At 43.4% G+C, this 13,521-nt stretch overlaps 1 protein-coding gene and 1 long non-coding RNA gene across 6 annotated transcripts in view, besides 2 other annotated features; one reads left to right on the top strand and one right to left on the bottom strand.

Annotated features, from left to right (window-relative positions):
- Window positions 1-1,041: part of an enhancer, noted in NCBI's record as "P300/CBP strongly-dependent group 1 enhancer chr15:71587200-71588399 (GRCh37/hg19 assembly coordinates)", that runs on past the window's edge. NCBI's record gives its function as "activates an origin of replication core promoter dependent on BRD2, BRD4, P300/CBP, MED14 and CDK7 cofactors, with strong dependence on P300/CBP, by STARR-seq in HCT116 cells {active_cell/tissue: HCT116}" and the evidence as "EXISTENCE:reporter gene assay evidence [ECO:0000049][PMID:35650434]".
- LOC124903520 (uncharacterized) overlaps window positions 1-11,314 on the bottom strand; it is a 15,761-nt gene extending 4,447 nt beyond the window's left edge. Inside the window, exon 1 of the long non-coding RNA XR_007064700.1 lies at window positions 140-11,314. This is a non-coding gene — a long non-coding RNA (uncharacterized LOC124903520). The remainder of the gene's footprint in view (window positions 1-139) is intronic.
- The window catches only part of THSD4 (thrombospondin type 1 domain containing 4), a 686,490-nt gene that overhangs the window by 198,126 nt on the left and 474,843 nt on the right, over window positions 1-13,521 (top strand). The gene's annotated exons all lie outside the window — the stretch shown is intronic.
- Window positions 291-585: a silencer, noted in NCBI's record as "tiled region #14552; K562 Repressive non-DNase unmatched - State 24:Quies". NCBI's record gives its function as "represses a minimal TATA promoter and a strong SV40 promoter by Sharpr-MPRA in K562 cells {active_cell/tissue: K562}" and the evidence as "EXISTENCE:reporter gene assay evidence [ECO:0000049][PMID:27701403]".

Genomic DNA, 13,521 nt, shown 5'->3' on the forward strand with positions numbered 1-13,521 from the left:
GGTGGGTGAGTGGCGCTTGCGTCAGGGAATGTGAGTGCCCTGCAGGCTGGAAGGGATGCTCTGGTTGTAGCCTTAAGATAAACAGATTGGGCTGGACATCTGTGGTTTCAGATTAGGCAGGAAGGAAATCATCTCCTACCTGGATTACTCAATATCTTCCTTACTGGTCCTGCAGTGATCCTGGGAGGGTGATATGATCGGCTTTGTTTACAGATGGATGAACCAGATGAGTCCCTAGGAAGTGAAGTGACTGGCCCAGGATCACGATGAACTCTCAAGGCCAAGTTTGAACCCAGGCCTTCTGACTCCAAGCCTGTAGTCCTTTCACTGGCCTACAGCTGCTTCCTGAGCCCCTTTCCTGGTTCAGTCAGGCAAAACAAACCAGCTTCCTGCGAGTTAAGGGGGAAAAGGGTTTAATGGGGACTGACTCATTGAGATTGGCAGTCCCCTTTGGTTAATTTCATCAGGTCATCTCCTAGCGTTCCATTTCCTTTTGTGGAGACACAGATCAGAGGCAATCTGGCTCTGTATGAACTCACTTTGTGACTCTGGGTGAATCATTTCCCTCTCTGGGTTTCAGGTTCCTCATTGCACAGTAAGTATATTGGAATTCAGTGGTTCTCAAATCTGCTGGAACGTCAGAATCACCTGGGGACATTTTCTTTAAAAAAAAAAAGCCAGCTCTATTGAGTCACATTTTACAATCAATGAGTTTTAGTAAGTTTACCAAGTTGTGCAACTATCAGCATAAATCAGTATTAGAACATTTTTATCATGTCAGTAATATCCCCATCCACTCCCACTCCCTGCCCTAGGCAACAAGTAAGCTATGTACTTTCTGCCCCTGTAGATTTACCTTTTCTGGATGTTTCACATAAATAGAATCATGCACTGTGTGGTCTCTTGCATCTGGCTTCTGTTACTTAATATAACATACTTGAGGTTCATTAATACTGTAGCATGTATTGATAGCCTATTCCTTTCTATTGCTCAATAATATGGCAATTGTATGATATGTCACATGTTATTTATCTACTTATCAGTTGATGGATATTTGATCCAGTTGATGAGTCATGAATGATGCTGCTTAGAACATTCATGGACACATTTTTGTGAGGGCGTATGTTTTCATTTCTCTTGCGTATATACCTAGAAGTGGAATTACTGGGTCAAATGGTAACTCTTATGTGTAACTTTTCAGGAAATAGCCAAACTGTTTCCCAAAGTGTCTGTACCATTTTACATTCCCATCAACAATAGATAAGGGTTACCCTCTGGAGAGCTTTTTAAAAATTGTCATTTCTGTGCCCTACCCACCTGAGGTCTGGCATGGGGCCCAGGAATCTGCATTTTATGAGCTCCCCAGGTAATTCAGATACATCTGGTTCGTGGATATGTGTTTCGGCCCACTAAGACCGGATGACCTCTGAAGCCTCCCTAAGGCCTGTTGTCTCTATTAGTCTGTGCCTCTCGGGCAAGACGCACCTTCCTGCCAAGTCTCTCTGGGTGTTTGTCTTTGGATCAGAGAATCAGTACGCAGAGCAGGGCTGAGGGAGTTGGCCAAGCAGCGTGCATAACTCTGCGCAGCACCTGTCCTGCATTATCCTCCACACTGGCCAAGGCTTTGTGTCCCTGGCTTCATGGACATAAAATTTTATCACAGGTTTTTATGTGTTATCACATTGTAAAAGTGCCATAAAATCAAGGGTCCAGTTTTCAGTGCATCTGAAAACGTCGTATTCCTTTAAGTTATAATCTTGGTTGCAGTCATTTTGGTAACTTGTTGAGAAGCCTCATCCCGACCCTGCCATTTATTAGCTATAACTAGATTTTTAATTGCTCCGAGCCTCTGTTTTCTCATCTGCAAAATGAGATTAATAACATCGACATCATGAAGTCTCTTGAAAGGATTAAATGAGATAACCTGTGAAATGCTACTGTAATGGACCTCAGTGCTCTTTTCTTTCTTTTGGCTGTTTCTGCCCCATCCCTGCTTCCATTATTATACATCTTTTCATGAGCTTATTGCCCATTTATATGTCTTCTATTGTTTTTAATGAGGTGAAATTCACATAGCATAATATTAACCCATTTCCTTCACATCCTTGTTATTTATTTTTTTTTAATTATATCCATCCTAGTAGTGGGTGTGAAGTGGTATTCATTGTGGTTCTGATTTGCATTTCTTGAATGGCTAATGATGTTGAGCTTCTTTTCATGTTTTTGTGTGCTTATTGGCCATTCATATATCTTATTTGCAGAAAAATATTTATTCAAGTCCTTTGCTCTCCTCTTCTTTTTTTTGTTTGTTTGTTTGTTTGTTTGTTTGTTTCTGAGACGGAATCTCGCTCTGTAACCCAGACTGGAGTGCAGTGGCGCAATCTCAGCTCACTGCAACCTCTGCCTCCCAGGTTCAAGTGATTCTCCTGCCCCAGCCTCCTGAGTAGCTGGGATTACAGGCACGTGCCCCCATGCCTGGCTAATTTTTGTATTCTTAGTAGAGACAGGGTTTCACCATGTTGGTCAGGCTGGTCTTGAACTCCTGACCTTGTGATCCGCCTGCCTTGGCCTCCCAAAGTGCTGGGATTACAGACGTGAGCTACCACGCTCGGCCTTTTCCTCCTCCTTTTTAAAGACAGTAGGGTGGTCTCACTATGTTGCCCAGGCTGGATTCCACCTTCTGGACTTAAGCAATCCTTCCACCTCAGCCTCTCAAGTAGCTGGGACTACAGCTGCACACGACTGCACCCTGCTCTTTTGCCTATTTTTAAATTGGGTTGTATGTCTTTTTGTTGTTCAGTTTTGAGAGTTTTTTTGTGTGTTCTGGATACTGGAACCTTATCAGATATATAATTTGCAAACATTTTCCCATTCTGCCATTTGTCTTTTCACTTTCTTGATAGTCCTTTGATGCACAAAAATTTTTATTTTGATGGTTTATCTGTTTTTTTCCTTTCGTTGCTCATATTTTTGGTGTCGTATCTAAGAATTCATTGCCCAAATCTAAGGATGTAAAGATTTACCCTTGTGTTTTCTTCTAAGAGTTTTATAATTTTAGCACTTAAATTTAGGTCTTTGATTCATTTTGAGTTAATTTTTGTATATGGTGTAAGGTAGGGTTCTAACTTCATTTTTTGGAGGGGCTATTCAGTTGTCCCAGCATGATTTGTTGAAGGGACTATGTCCCTTTGAATGGTCTTGGTACCTTTATCCAAAATCAACTGATCATAGATACAAGGATTTCTCTGGACTCTCAATTCTATTTCATTAATCTATATGTCTGACCTTACAATAACACCACACTGTCTTCATTACTGTAGCTTTGTAGCACATTTTATATCAGGAAATGTAAGTCTTCCAACTTTGTTCTTCTTTTTAAAGGCCTCCTTCTGTTATTAACCAGCCATCCCACTGTTATTTTGCTACTAGACCGGGGTATCAGCTATGTATACTGTAAAATTAGCTATACATATCTGGTGTCTCTATTCTTTTTCCACCAGATGAGGCTTTATTTCTTCTCTTCTAGTCCCCCCCTTAGATATTTCCCTCCTTCTGTGAGACTGAGACTGACCCCTGGATATGTGCTGACTTTTTTTTTTTTTTTTTTTTTTGAGGCAGAGTCTTGCTCTGTTGCTCAGGCTCGAGTGCAGTGGTGCGATCTCGGCTCACTGCAATCTCTGCCTCCTGGGTTCAAGCAATTCTCCTGCCTCAGCCTCCTGAGTAGCTGGGACTACAGGCACACGCCGCCACACCCGGCTAATTTTTTGTATTTTAGTAGAGACGGGGTTTTACTCTGTTGCCCAGGCTGGTCTCGAACTCCTGAGCTTGGGCAATCCACCGGCCTCGGCCTCCCAAAGTGCCAGGATTACAGGCGTGAGCCGTGCACACAGCCCAGTGCTGACCTTTTATTTCAATCACCTCAATGGCTGGAGAAGCAGAACCTTTGTTGTTGAGTCCCTGGTACACCCTCAGCACCTGCCTGGTGATCTCAGGTTCTGCCCTGTTATTTCATGAGTCTCTAGTCTGAGTCGCCTTTATCTTACTGAGTTGGACAGGAGGAACAATAACCACATAGCAGAATGACCATTAAAAGAGGCGGGAATGAGGTAACATGACTGTTGATGGTACTCATCTAAATGTTTTAATATATTTTGAAGTTTTAAAACTTAAGCCATTTGCAGTTTTAGTTTAAAATTCTTGGTTTCTTCATAGCAGCAAGTTAAGAATTGTGGATGCTTCGATATTCAACTATTTACACTGTTTAGAGAAGAAGCTGTGCTAGGAGAAAGGGGAGAAAGGAAGACCACTGGAGGCAGCCACTCCTCTGTTCTGGGTATTTCACCTCTGCTCTGAAACTTGCAGGCTGCATTGAGCAAAAGAAAAACAATGTGCTTTGTGACAGCATGCGTGAATGTAGAGGACTTTATGCTAAGTGAAATAAGCCAGGCAGAAGAAGACAAATACTGCATTATCTCACTTGTATGTGAAATCTAAAGAGTTCAGTTCATAGAAGCAGAGAGTAGAATGGTGGCTATAATGGGGAAGAGGGAGCTGTTAGTCAAAGGGTACAAAGTTTCAGTTAGAAGGAATAAGTTCTAGTGATCTATTGCACAGCATCATGACTACAGTTAATAACATATATTTCAAAATTACTAAAAGAGTAGACTTCAATTGTCCTTATCACTAAGAAATGATAAGTATCTTAGGTGATGGGTATGTTAATTTGCCTGATTTAATCATTTTGCAATGTATACATGTGCCATAACACATATTGTACCCCATAAAATTCATACATTTCTTATTTGTCAATTAAAAATAACATTGGGCTGGACGTGATAGCTCACACTTGTAATCCCAGCAATTTGGGAGGCCCAGGCAGGATTGTTTGAGGCCAGGAGTTTCAGAACAGCCTGGGCATCATAATGAGACCCTGTCTCTACCAAAAAAAAAAAAAAAAATATATATATATATATATATATATATTAGCCATGGGTGGTGGCAGGCATCTGTGGTCCCAGTGACCCAGGAGGCTGAGGTGGGAGAACTGCTTGAGCTCAGGGTTTTGAGACTGCAGTAAGCTATGACTGCGCCACTGACTCCAGTGTGGCAACAGAGCAAGACCTTGTCTCTTAAAAAAATAAAATAAATTTAAATATAAAATTAGTTTTTTAAAAAAGAACAGTTTAGCAACCACACCCCTTCACCAAGAAACAAAAAAATAATGTGTTTAAGGGGAAGAAAGCAGAAGGCATTTTGATGAACCTCTCCTGTCACTCAGGCATACCTCTGTGGTTGTCATGACCAAAGGCCCCCTTATCAGAGGACTTGCAACCATTTACAGAGCCCTCCTTGGAAGGAGTTCTGGAAAATAGTAGTTTCTCTTCTGGTTAGGTTTTCTTAACGTTCAGGGGCTTTCAAAGCCACATAGGGACAGCTGGGAACTTGAGATAGTTTGATTGCTGATTGTGAAGGATTGGCTTGGTTGATGTTTTTGGATCAAATGCTGTATTTATAGAAGTTTCTCATCACTTTTCTCACTAAATTCCTCAGCACATATTCTAGGCAGGGTTCAGCTTTTTAAACTCTTATCAATCCCCCTCAAAATTATCCATGAAGATGCTGTAGTATAAGAGTAAAAACTATAGTAAAAATCTAGAATGTATAATGTGTTCTTTTTGATTGCATTGTCTAGTTTAAACTCTCAGTGAAATGTCTGGCAGGAGAACACTATATGAGAACTCGATTAAGTTCCAGATTAAGAAATTACAAGCAAGATAAATAAATGCATTGTGCTGGCAAGTTCTAATAGAGCATCAAAGTGACTTTGATAAACCTCTTCCTGAGGAACCAACTCCCAGCTTCTGAAATCACAGCCAGGGGAATCTTTTTGCTGAGATTTTATCGTTGTCCAAAGGAATATGGGTTTAATTAGATAATTTTCTTTTAGGACACAAGAATTTGCTAAAGTAGGTGTTGTCTGGACAGGTCCTGTTTTATTTAAAATAATCTGGGCCTTTGCTGCAGGACAAGGGAAATTTCTCTGCCCTAAGATTATTTTCTAATTGCCTAAAATTTTTCTTTCATTACAGGTTGGAGGGTTTTTCTGTTGTTGTTTGTTGTTCAGCAGAAATAGAGACTAAAAGCAAGAGAAAAAAATCAGCTCCAGTTTCACCACTCAGAAATAACTTCCATTAATATTTTGTTCTACACATTATTTAATTTTTTAACAAAACCTATGTATATAATGTTGCTTAATCTGTCCTTCTGCATTTAACAATATGTTGTAAACAGCTTTTAGGCCAACAAAGACCTGATTTTTCACATAATTTTTCACATGATTTTTCCGTGATTTTTCACGGCTCCAAGTATCTCATTTATATTTATCATAATATATTTTATTATTTTATTAGCATATTGCTATTTAAAACAATGTGACTATCTTTGAACATATACCGTTGTGTGTTGGGGATAATCATTCTTTCCATCTTTGCTGTTCTATTGGGTAAAAAATGAGATCTCTTCTGTAATATGTGTTAATATCTGCAAGGCCTAGTTCCCCTCTAGTACTCTGCCTTTTCCAAGATTCTCCTAGCTGTTCTGGGCTGTCCTTTCTCCAGATGAACGTAAATTGATGCTTCTGTTTTCTTTTGAGAAATAATTTATTTTTAAAAAATAATTTTCTCTGGGCTACCTGGAGACCTCCTCCGGTAATATGAGATTTGAGTTACAATGCAGAGTTTCGAAGTTGAGTGTGTGCTTAGTTATACTTATATCCTGCCTGGATACCTCAAGGGAGATATCCTCTCTTCTGGCCAGTGGAACTTGTAGGGAGCAGAGGAAGCATCACTCAGTCTTTGCAGTGCATGATGTTAGATGGGATGCCTTTTGAGCGAGCCCTTTAGTGTGGGGGGCTCCTGGGGGACTGAACTCCACTGCCTGATGCCCACACTGGTCCACCACAGCAACTTCAGGGCCTTCTGATTTTTTGGTCAGACTAGGTCTGCCTGTGGGAGCAAGCTTAGGGTTGGTTTATTTTGGGATCTATTTCTAGAGACTGAGGTTTGAAGTAGCATGCTCAAACCCAGAAACGCATTCCACATGTAAGAGGTGAGCTGCCAAGTGTCGTTGTGAGTCTCCTTTCCCTGGCAGCGTTTTCCATCCTTGTTTGATCAGATTCCATGGGCTTGGGGCTAGACAGACAGCTTCTCATCCCAGGTTGGAGAGCACACCAGAGGTGGCGGAAGGGTAGGGGTAGGCAGAGCAAGGCTGAGACCCAAATAGAGAAGACCAGGTCTGATAAGCCCACCAGGGAAGGCCAGGAGATCACCAGAACCAAAGGGGCTGATGCAGGCACTGAGCCAGAACACACAGCTGGAAATGGCTGAATCAGGGACACAGCAGAGCAGCAGCAGGTCCCATCCCACAGGGAGGCTCTGGGTTGCTGCTCAGAGCCGGCCCCATTTCTGCCTTGATGCATGAGATGTGGCCACACCAGCTGCAAAAGAACCTCCTCACATCCACTTACTTTGATTTTTCCAAGTGGAATGGTTTTGTTGGGTGGGAGTGGGGGTGGGGTGCTGGGGGCAGTGAGCAAGGGAAGCAGGCAATGCAGATTTTTGGATCTGTATCCAAACATGCTCCTGCCCATGCTTAGCCCAGTGGGTGCTTCTCTTCCTGGGGCCAGCAGGAAGTCCGCTTGGCTGGTGGGGCAGTGGCATGTCATGATCTGTCACCCTGCTTCAGCTGATAGAGATTATCAGCTGGAGAACTGAATGGTACACACCTTCCCCCTTCTTCCAACACCATGGCCCCCAAGATGCTGCACCTGCCGCCGCCTCATTTAGCCCTACAACCCCCTGCCACTCAACATTATGCAGAGGGCCCAGGAGGGTCTTGCAGTCATCTACATACTTCCCTGCGAGTTCTTGGTTTGGTCCCTAGAAATGGCAGCCTGCATGTGGAGAAGGCTGCATGCAGCCTCAGGCCTGCCCACCCGATACGAGGTCTGCATGTATGAGTTGTGTGCATCACATAGCTCCTCACCATGCTTTCCTACCCAGGAGGATAAGCTTTCCTACCCAGGAGGATAAGCTTTCCTACCCAGGAGGAGACTCAAGGCAAAACACTGGAAACTGTGTTTATACAAACTCCCCAAGTGATTCTGGCAGCCAGCACAGAATGACTGTGCACAGACACTCAGGCATCACTAGCTCTGGGCGCCGCGCATTTGCCTGCTTCATCCAGGACAGTGGCTAACACTTCAGGTAGGGCCCACATACACTCAGAATAAAGAGCTGCCTGGTCAGGAGGGGGGCAGTCAGCATGGGCTAAGTTTTTTACAGATCTCTGGCAGACAGTGTTGTCTGCTTTGGCTAAAGAGGGAATGGGAAGGCAAATGACAAATGGCCTCTAACGTTGCAAAGAATAATGTGTTATGTGGAACTCAGACAAGCCAGTTCTATGGAGAAAGCAGTACATTGAGGATGAGATTTCTGCTTGTTTCTTTTTGTTTTTGGAGGAAAAGCCAGGGCTGTGGGCCTGACAGAAGTTGATATTTGGGTCTTGAATGTGTTCTCTTCCAGAATCTTCTCTTTCCAGTTTTCCCAGCTTACTATTGATACCATTCACAGAAGTCTTGCATTCAGTGCCCTCTCTAGGTGGTACCTCCTTATAAACTGGGCCTTATGCTGGCATCTTGGGTCCTTGGAAGGATAGTTTCCTGGTGCGCTGGATTAGTCATAGCCTATTGTAGTGACTCTGGCATGGTTACCTCAGGAACACCACCAGACAAATATAGACCCTTTAACACTGGCTGGCCCTTGTGTCTCCAGACCCCTCCCAGGAGTTCCTCACACTAGGAACCTTGGGCTGCTCCACTTTGGGTCACAAGGACCCCTTTGCCTAGCCCAAAGCAGGCCTCTTTGGTTGCTTTTCTCTGGTCCACTCTGGCTATGACCTTCAGGATCAGAGGGCAAGAAGTCGAGAAGGACACGTCTCCAAGATAGAGCACTAAGAGCTAATGGGCAGAACTGGCTGGAGCTGCTTATTCTTGGCCTTTTTATGGGTGAGATGCCTCTAGCAGTGTTGGACATCTCATCCCAGATACCACCAGGAGGTGAGCTTGCTCTGGGAGGCATATTGAAAGGGCTGCACCATGCAAAGGTCAGGAACTCTCTCCACTGCATGAAACATGGCACAAGCTCTGGCCCATCTGGCTGTGACCAGCTGGGCCTTTGCTCAGGGCTGTCTGTGCTGCTCCTCACCAGGTGAGGAGTGAAGGGGAAAGAAGAAGGAGTCTTGTGCTCCTTTCAGAGGTTGGACAGTGCCATGACACTGTTCAAACTGTTTAGTTTCTCTGGGGCTTCTGCTTGGAGTTTAAGAGAGACATAATTTATTCTGAAGTTTGCCATGGAGAGAATAGCATCTCTATTCCAATGTAGTCATAATATATGGTATCATCCTGCCTATTTAAAAATATGTTTGGTAGTAAAATTTTCAGTCTTATTAAAATTTTAGCCCAAATTCTTTTCCTCCTTTCTTGTTTTTCCCCAATCGGAAGATTCGGTCGGTATTTCCCCCAGGGGAAACACAAGAACATTACCTAAGAACTTTGAAATTATTTTCAGAGAATTCAGGTGCTGCTGGTTTTGAAGATGCCTAAAGGAGTTTCCAATGTTCTCCAACCTCGTCTATGGTAAAATAAATTCCAAGTAAGAGATTCCTTCCAACAAAAAGTAACCAAAATGTGTATTTGCCCCATCTTAGGTAATTAAACTCCCTAACAGACTTGCAGATTTAGGCAAAAAGAGTGGTAGAATATAAAAGCTCATTAATCATCCTGGCATCATGAGCTCATATTGTTATGAAATAAATATGCTTACTAAATGGATCCAGATGCCATCAAATACATGTTTCCAATAAAGACTATTTTTTGTTCTTGCCCAGGCAATAAACACACGAGGCTTGTTTATAACACCTCTTTTCCGTGAATCACAGTGGTCCATCCAACACATATTCTTTTCACCTCTTTCCCTGGTGAAAAGTGGGTACGTTTTCTGATGAGGATTCTGGGGAAAACCCTAACGAGGTAGGAGATGTTTCCCTGTAACCCAGAGCTGATGGGTGATAGGAAAATGGAAATCACTTGGCTAATCGTATACCAACATGGAAGACATTTGTCTCTATTAATCTTCTTACCCAACACATCAAAGTACCAATTTCAATCCAAGACAGTACCAGTCCCCAGAGGACAGACTTGAGTCTAAGAGGACCCCCTGCGATCTACTCTGTAAGGATGGAATGGTAGAAAGATGAAGATATATTCAATTATCATCAAACCCCAGGCTCTTGATGTGGGTGAGCTGTCTTCCCAAGATCACCCCCAGGAGTTGGCTCAGGACTGGAAAGCAGAGGGGGCCCATTGGAGGGAGGATGGAGTTCATAGTGAGTTGAGGGCAGTAGTTAACGTGGGGTTGGAGCCAGACACATACAAGTTCCTATCCTGATTCTGCCACTTAATAGTTATGACCTTCAACGGTATTCTACCTCTCTGAGTCCGTTTGCTTTATTCAAAAACTCCAAGTTGCTGGGAGGATAAATGAGATTGTTATTGTAAACTGCCCAGCACCTAAGATGCACTAAGATGTGGTAGCTCTTATCACCCTTCCTAGAAAGGTTATTCCGGATGGGGACTGATGCTGTCCAGGAGAAATGGATGAGTAGAGGGAAAGCTGTTTGTTCTTAATAGTAGAATGAAACTCACATGTGTCACTAACCAAGGGGCCTGCCCTGCTGGGACAGGCCTCCCCTTATAGCCCACTCCAAATCTATCCTTCTCGAGTTCCCACTCACTGGAATCTCCAGCCTTCCAGATTTTCTGGGACCTGGAGTTGGCCAGTCACCACCACCATCCTATGCAGCTTTCCCTTTATTACTGGAGGAAGTGTGAAGATAACTTTTTCCCTCAAACGATTGTAAAGAGCTTAAAGGCATTAAGATGAGAGACGGGCCAGGCGCAGTGGTTCATGTCTGTAATCCCAGCACTTTGTGAGGCTGAGGTGGGCAGATCACGAGGTCAGGAGTTCAAGACCAGCCTGGCCAACATGGCGAAACCTCTTCTCTACTAAAAATGCAAAAATCAGCCGGGCGTGGTGGTGGGCACCTGTAATCCCAGCTACTCGGGAGGCTGAGGCAGGAGAATCACTTGAACGTGGGAGGCAGAAGTTGCAGTGAGCCAAGATTGTGCCATTGCACTCCAGCCTGGGTGATAAGAGCAAGACTCTTGCCTCAAAAAAAAAAAAAAAAAAAAAAAAAAAAAAAGGGAATGGTATTATATATTTTTTGATGCCTTCTCTTATGGCCAGTATCTTACTAAACTATTTTATCTCATTTTCATCCTCATAATAACAGAGGTCACACCCAGATTTATCTTTCTTCAAAGCCTGTGCTCATTTCAGTACACTCTCTGCTTCTCAGTTACCTTTACTGAGAAATTAAGGTAAACAAAGCAGCACCAATGAAAAAAGGGTTTGGAAAGGAAGCATTTGTGTTTTATAAAGTATGGGTGTCTAGTCCACTAGTTCAGCAATTTTCTCAACCCTGGTGTCTGTTAGAGCCATACATCTCTGAAATCCTGCTTGAAAGAGAATTCTGTGGCCAAATAAAGTCAGGAGTGCTGCATATAATCTTACCATCTTGACAATGCATAGTGCAGAGTATCATTTTAAAGGTTCTGAGAAGTCCTGCAGTTCAAAACAACCCCAAAACATAAAATTGCTTAACCTTGTGTTTGCCAAACATATTATAGACCCCTGTATGATATGTGAAACATGTATTAATATCCTTGTTGCACTTCTCCTTCACAGAGCATTCTTTAGAAATACCAGTTTGAAGTACAAGCATAAATTTCTCAAATTTTTTAATTGGCCTCATGTCCCAGTCTAGGAGAATATTCAGGCACCATCCCAGAATTTTCTGCCTTGTCCTCTCTCCAGGTCTTGCTCTGCAGTCCTCCCTCAAGCCATACTCTTGGGGAAAACACTTTCCTTCCAGGCTTTGGGACAAATTTGCCTTCCTTGTTCTTGGGGATTCTTCGGAGCTCTGGCCTGTGAAAGTTGCTCTTCTTGACTGACACCCCAACTTTTCTGGCCTGTTGGTGGCTGAACACCTCCTCACTAGCCACGTGTTAAGGCTGGCTCAGTAAATATGCCCAGGTCCTCCATGATGGGAAGTTAGGTTGTCATGTAGCCATAGTTATGGCGGTGGCTGTGTGACCTCTGTGTCACCGTCTTCCCACATGTAACTTGGTATTATACCCAGTTTCTACATCTGTGTGATTGATGTGTATGTTAAGTACATTGGATGTGCCAGCATACTGAATTTTTAAGACCTAAGTGTGTCAAGGGCCCTCAAGATCATCCTCAGCCTTGATGATTTGCTAAAAGAAATCACAGTACTTAAAAACCCATTCAGGCCAGGCACGGTGGCTCACGCCTGTAATTCCAGCACTTTGGGAGGCTGAGGCAGGTAGATCATGAGGACAGGAGTTCAAGACCAGCCTGGCCAACATGGTGAAACCAGTCTCTACTAAAAATACAAAAATTAGCCAGGCATGGTGGGGGGCACCTGTAATCCCAGCTACTTGGGAGGCTGAGGCAGAGAATTGCTTGAACCTGGGAGGTGGAGGTTGCAGTGAGCTGAGATCGCACCACTGCACTCTCCAGCCTGGGCGACAGAGCTAGACTCCATCTCAAAAACAAACAAAAAATGCTTTCATACTCACACTTATGGTTTATTACAGTGAAAGGATACAAATAAAAATTAGCAAAAGGAGAAGGCATATGGAGCCAAGTCCAGGAGAAATCAGGCACAGGATTCTAGGGATCCCCTCCCAGTGGAGTTGCACAGGGATGTGCTTAATTCTCCCAGCAACAATGTGTGATGATACATGCTTCCCCACCAGGGAAGCATGCCAGAGCCTTGGTGTCCAGAGTTTTTACTGGGGCCAGTCATAGAAGCATGCAGCACCTGTGTGACTGACCTCTAGTTTCTCCCAACCCAACCTCCTCTACCCTCCAGCAAAAACAGGCATTCACCCTGAATACTGGGTGGTCTATGTTCTCAGACATACAAAAACACTCTTATCAGGACAGTATTCCAAGGACCCAGAGGTTACCTCCCAGGAGCCTCCAAGGGTCAGTCCTTGAGGCAGGCCTTTCTCTGGAATATGCAAGGTTTGAGCATCGCAGGCCTGCTGAGTTAGCTTTTTCTTAACCCTTCCCTGCCTACTCGGGTTTAACTTGTCCTTTTAAGTTGCTACTTTTCTTAGAATGATTGAATTCAAGTCAAATAACAGGTTCTTCACATTGATTCTTTTTCCTGCTAGGGTGCTTATTGAAATATGGAAGACAATATTTGGGCTTGGTTTGAAAGATCAGGAGAGCCCTGTCTCCTTCCTTGCTTTTTATTTTGTTTTCTTTATTTTTTACTGAGGTAAAATTCATAGAACATAACATAGCCATT

This window comes from Homo sapiens, chromosome 15 (assembly GCF_000001405.40).
Source record: "Homo sapiens chromosome 15, GRCh38.p14 Primary Assembly".
NCBI lineage: Eukaryota > Metazoa > Chordata > Mammalia > Primates > Hominidae > Homo > Homo sapiens.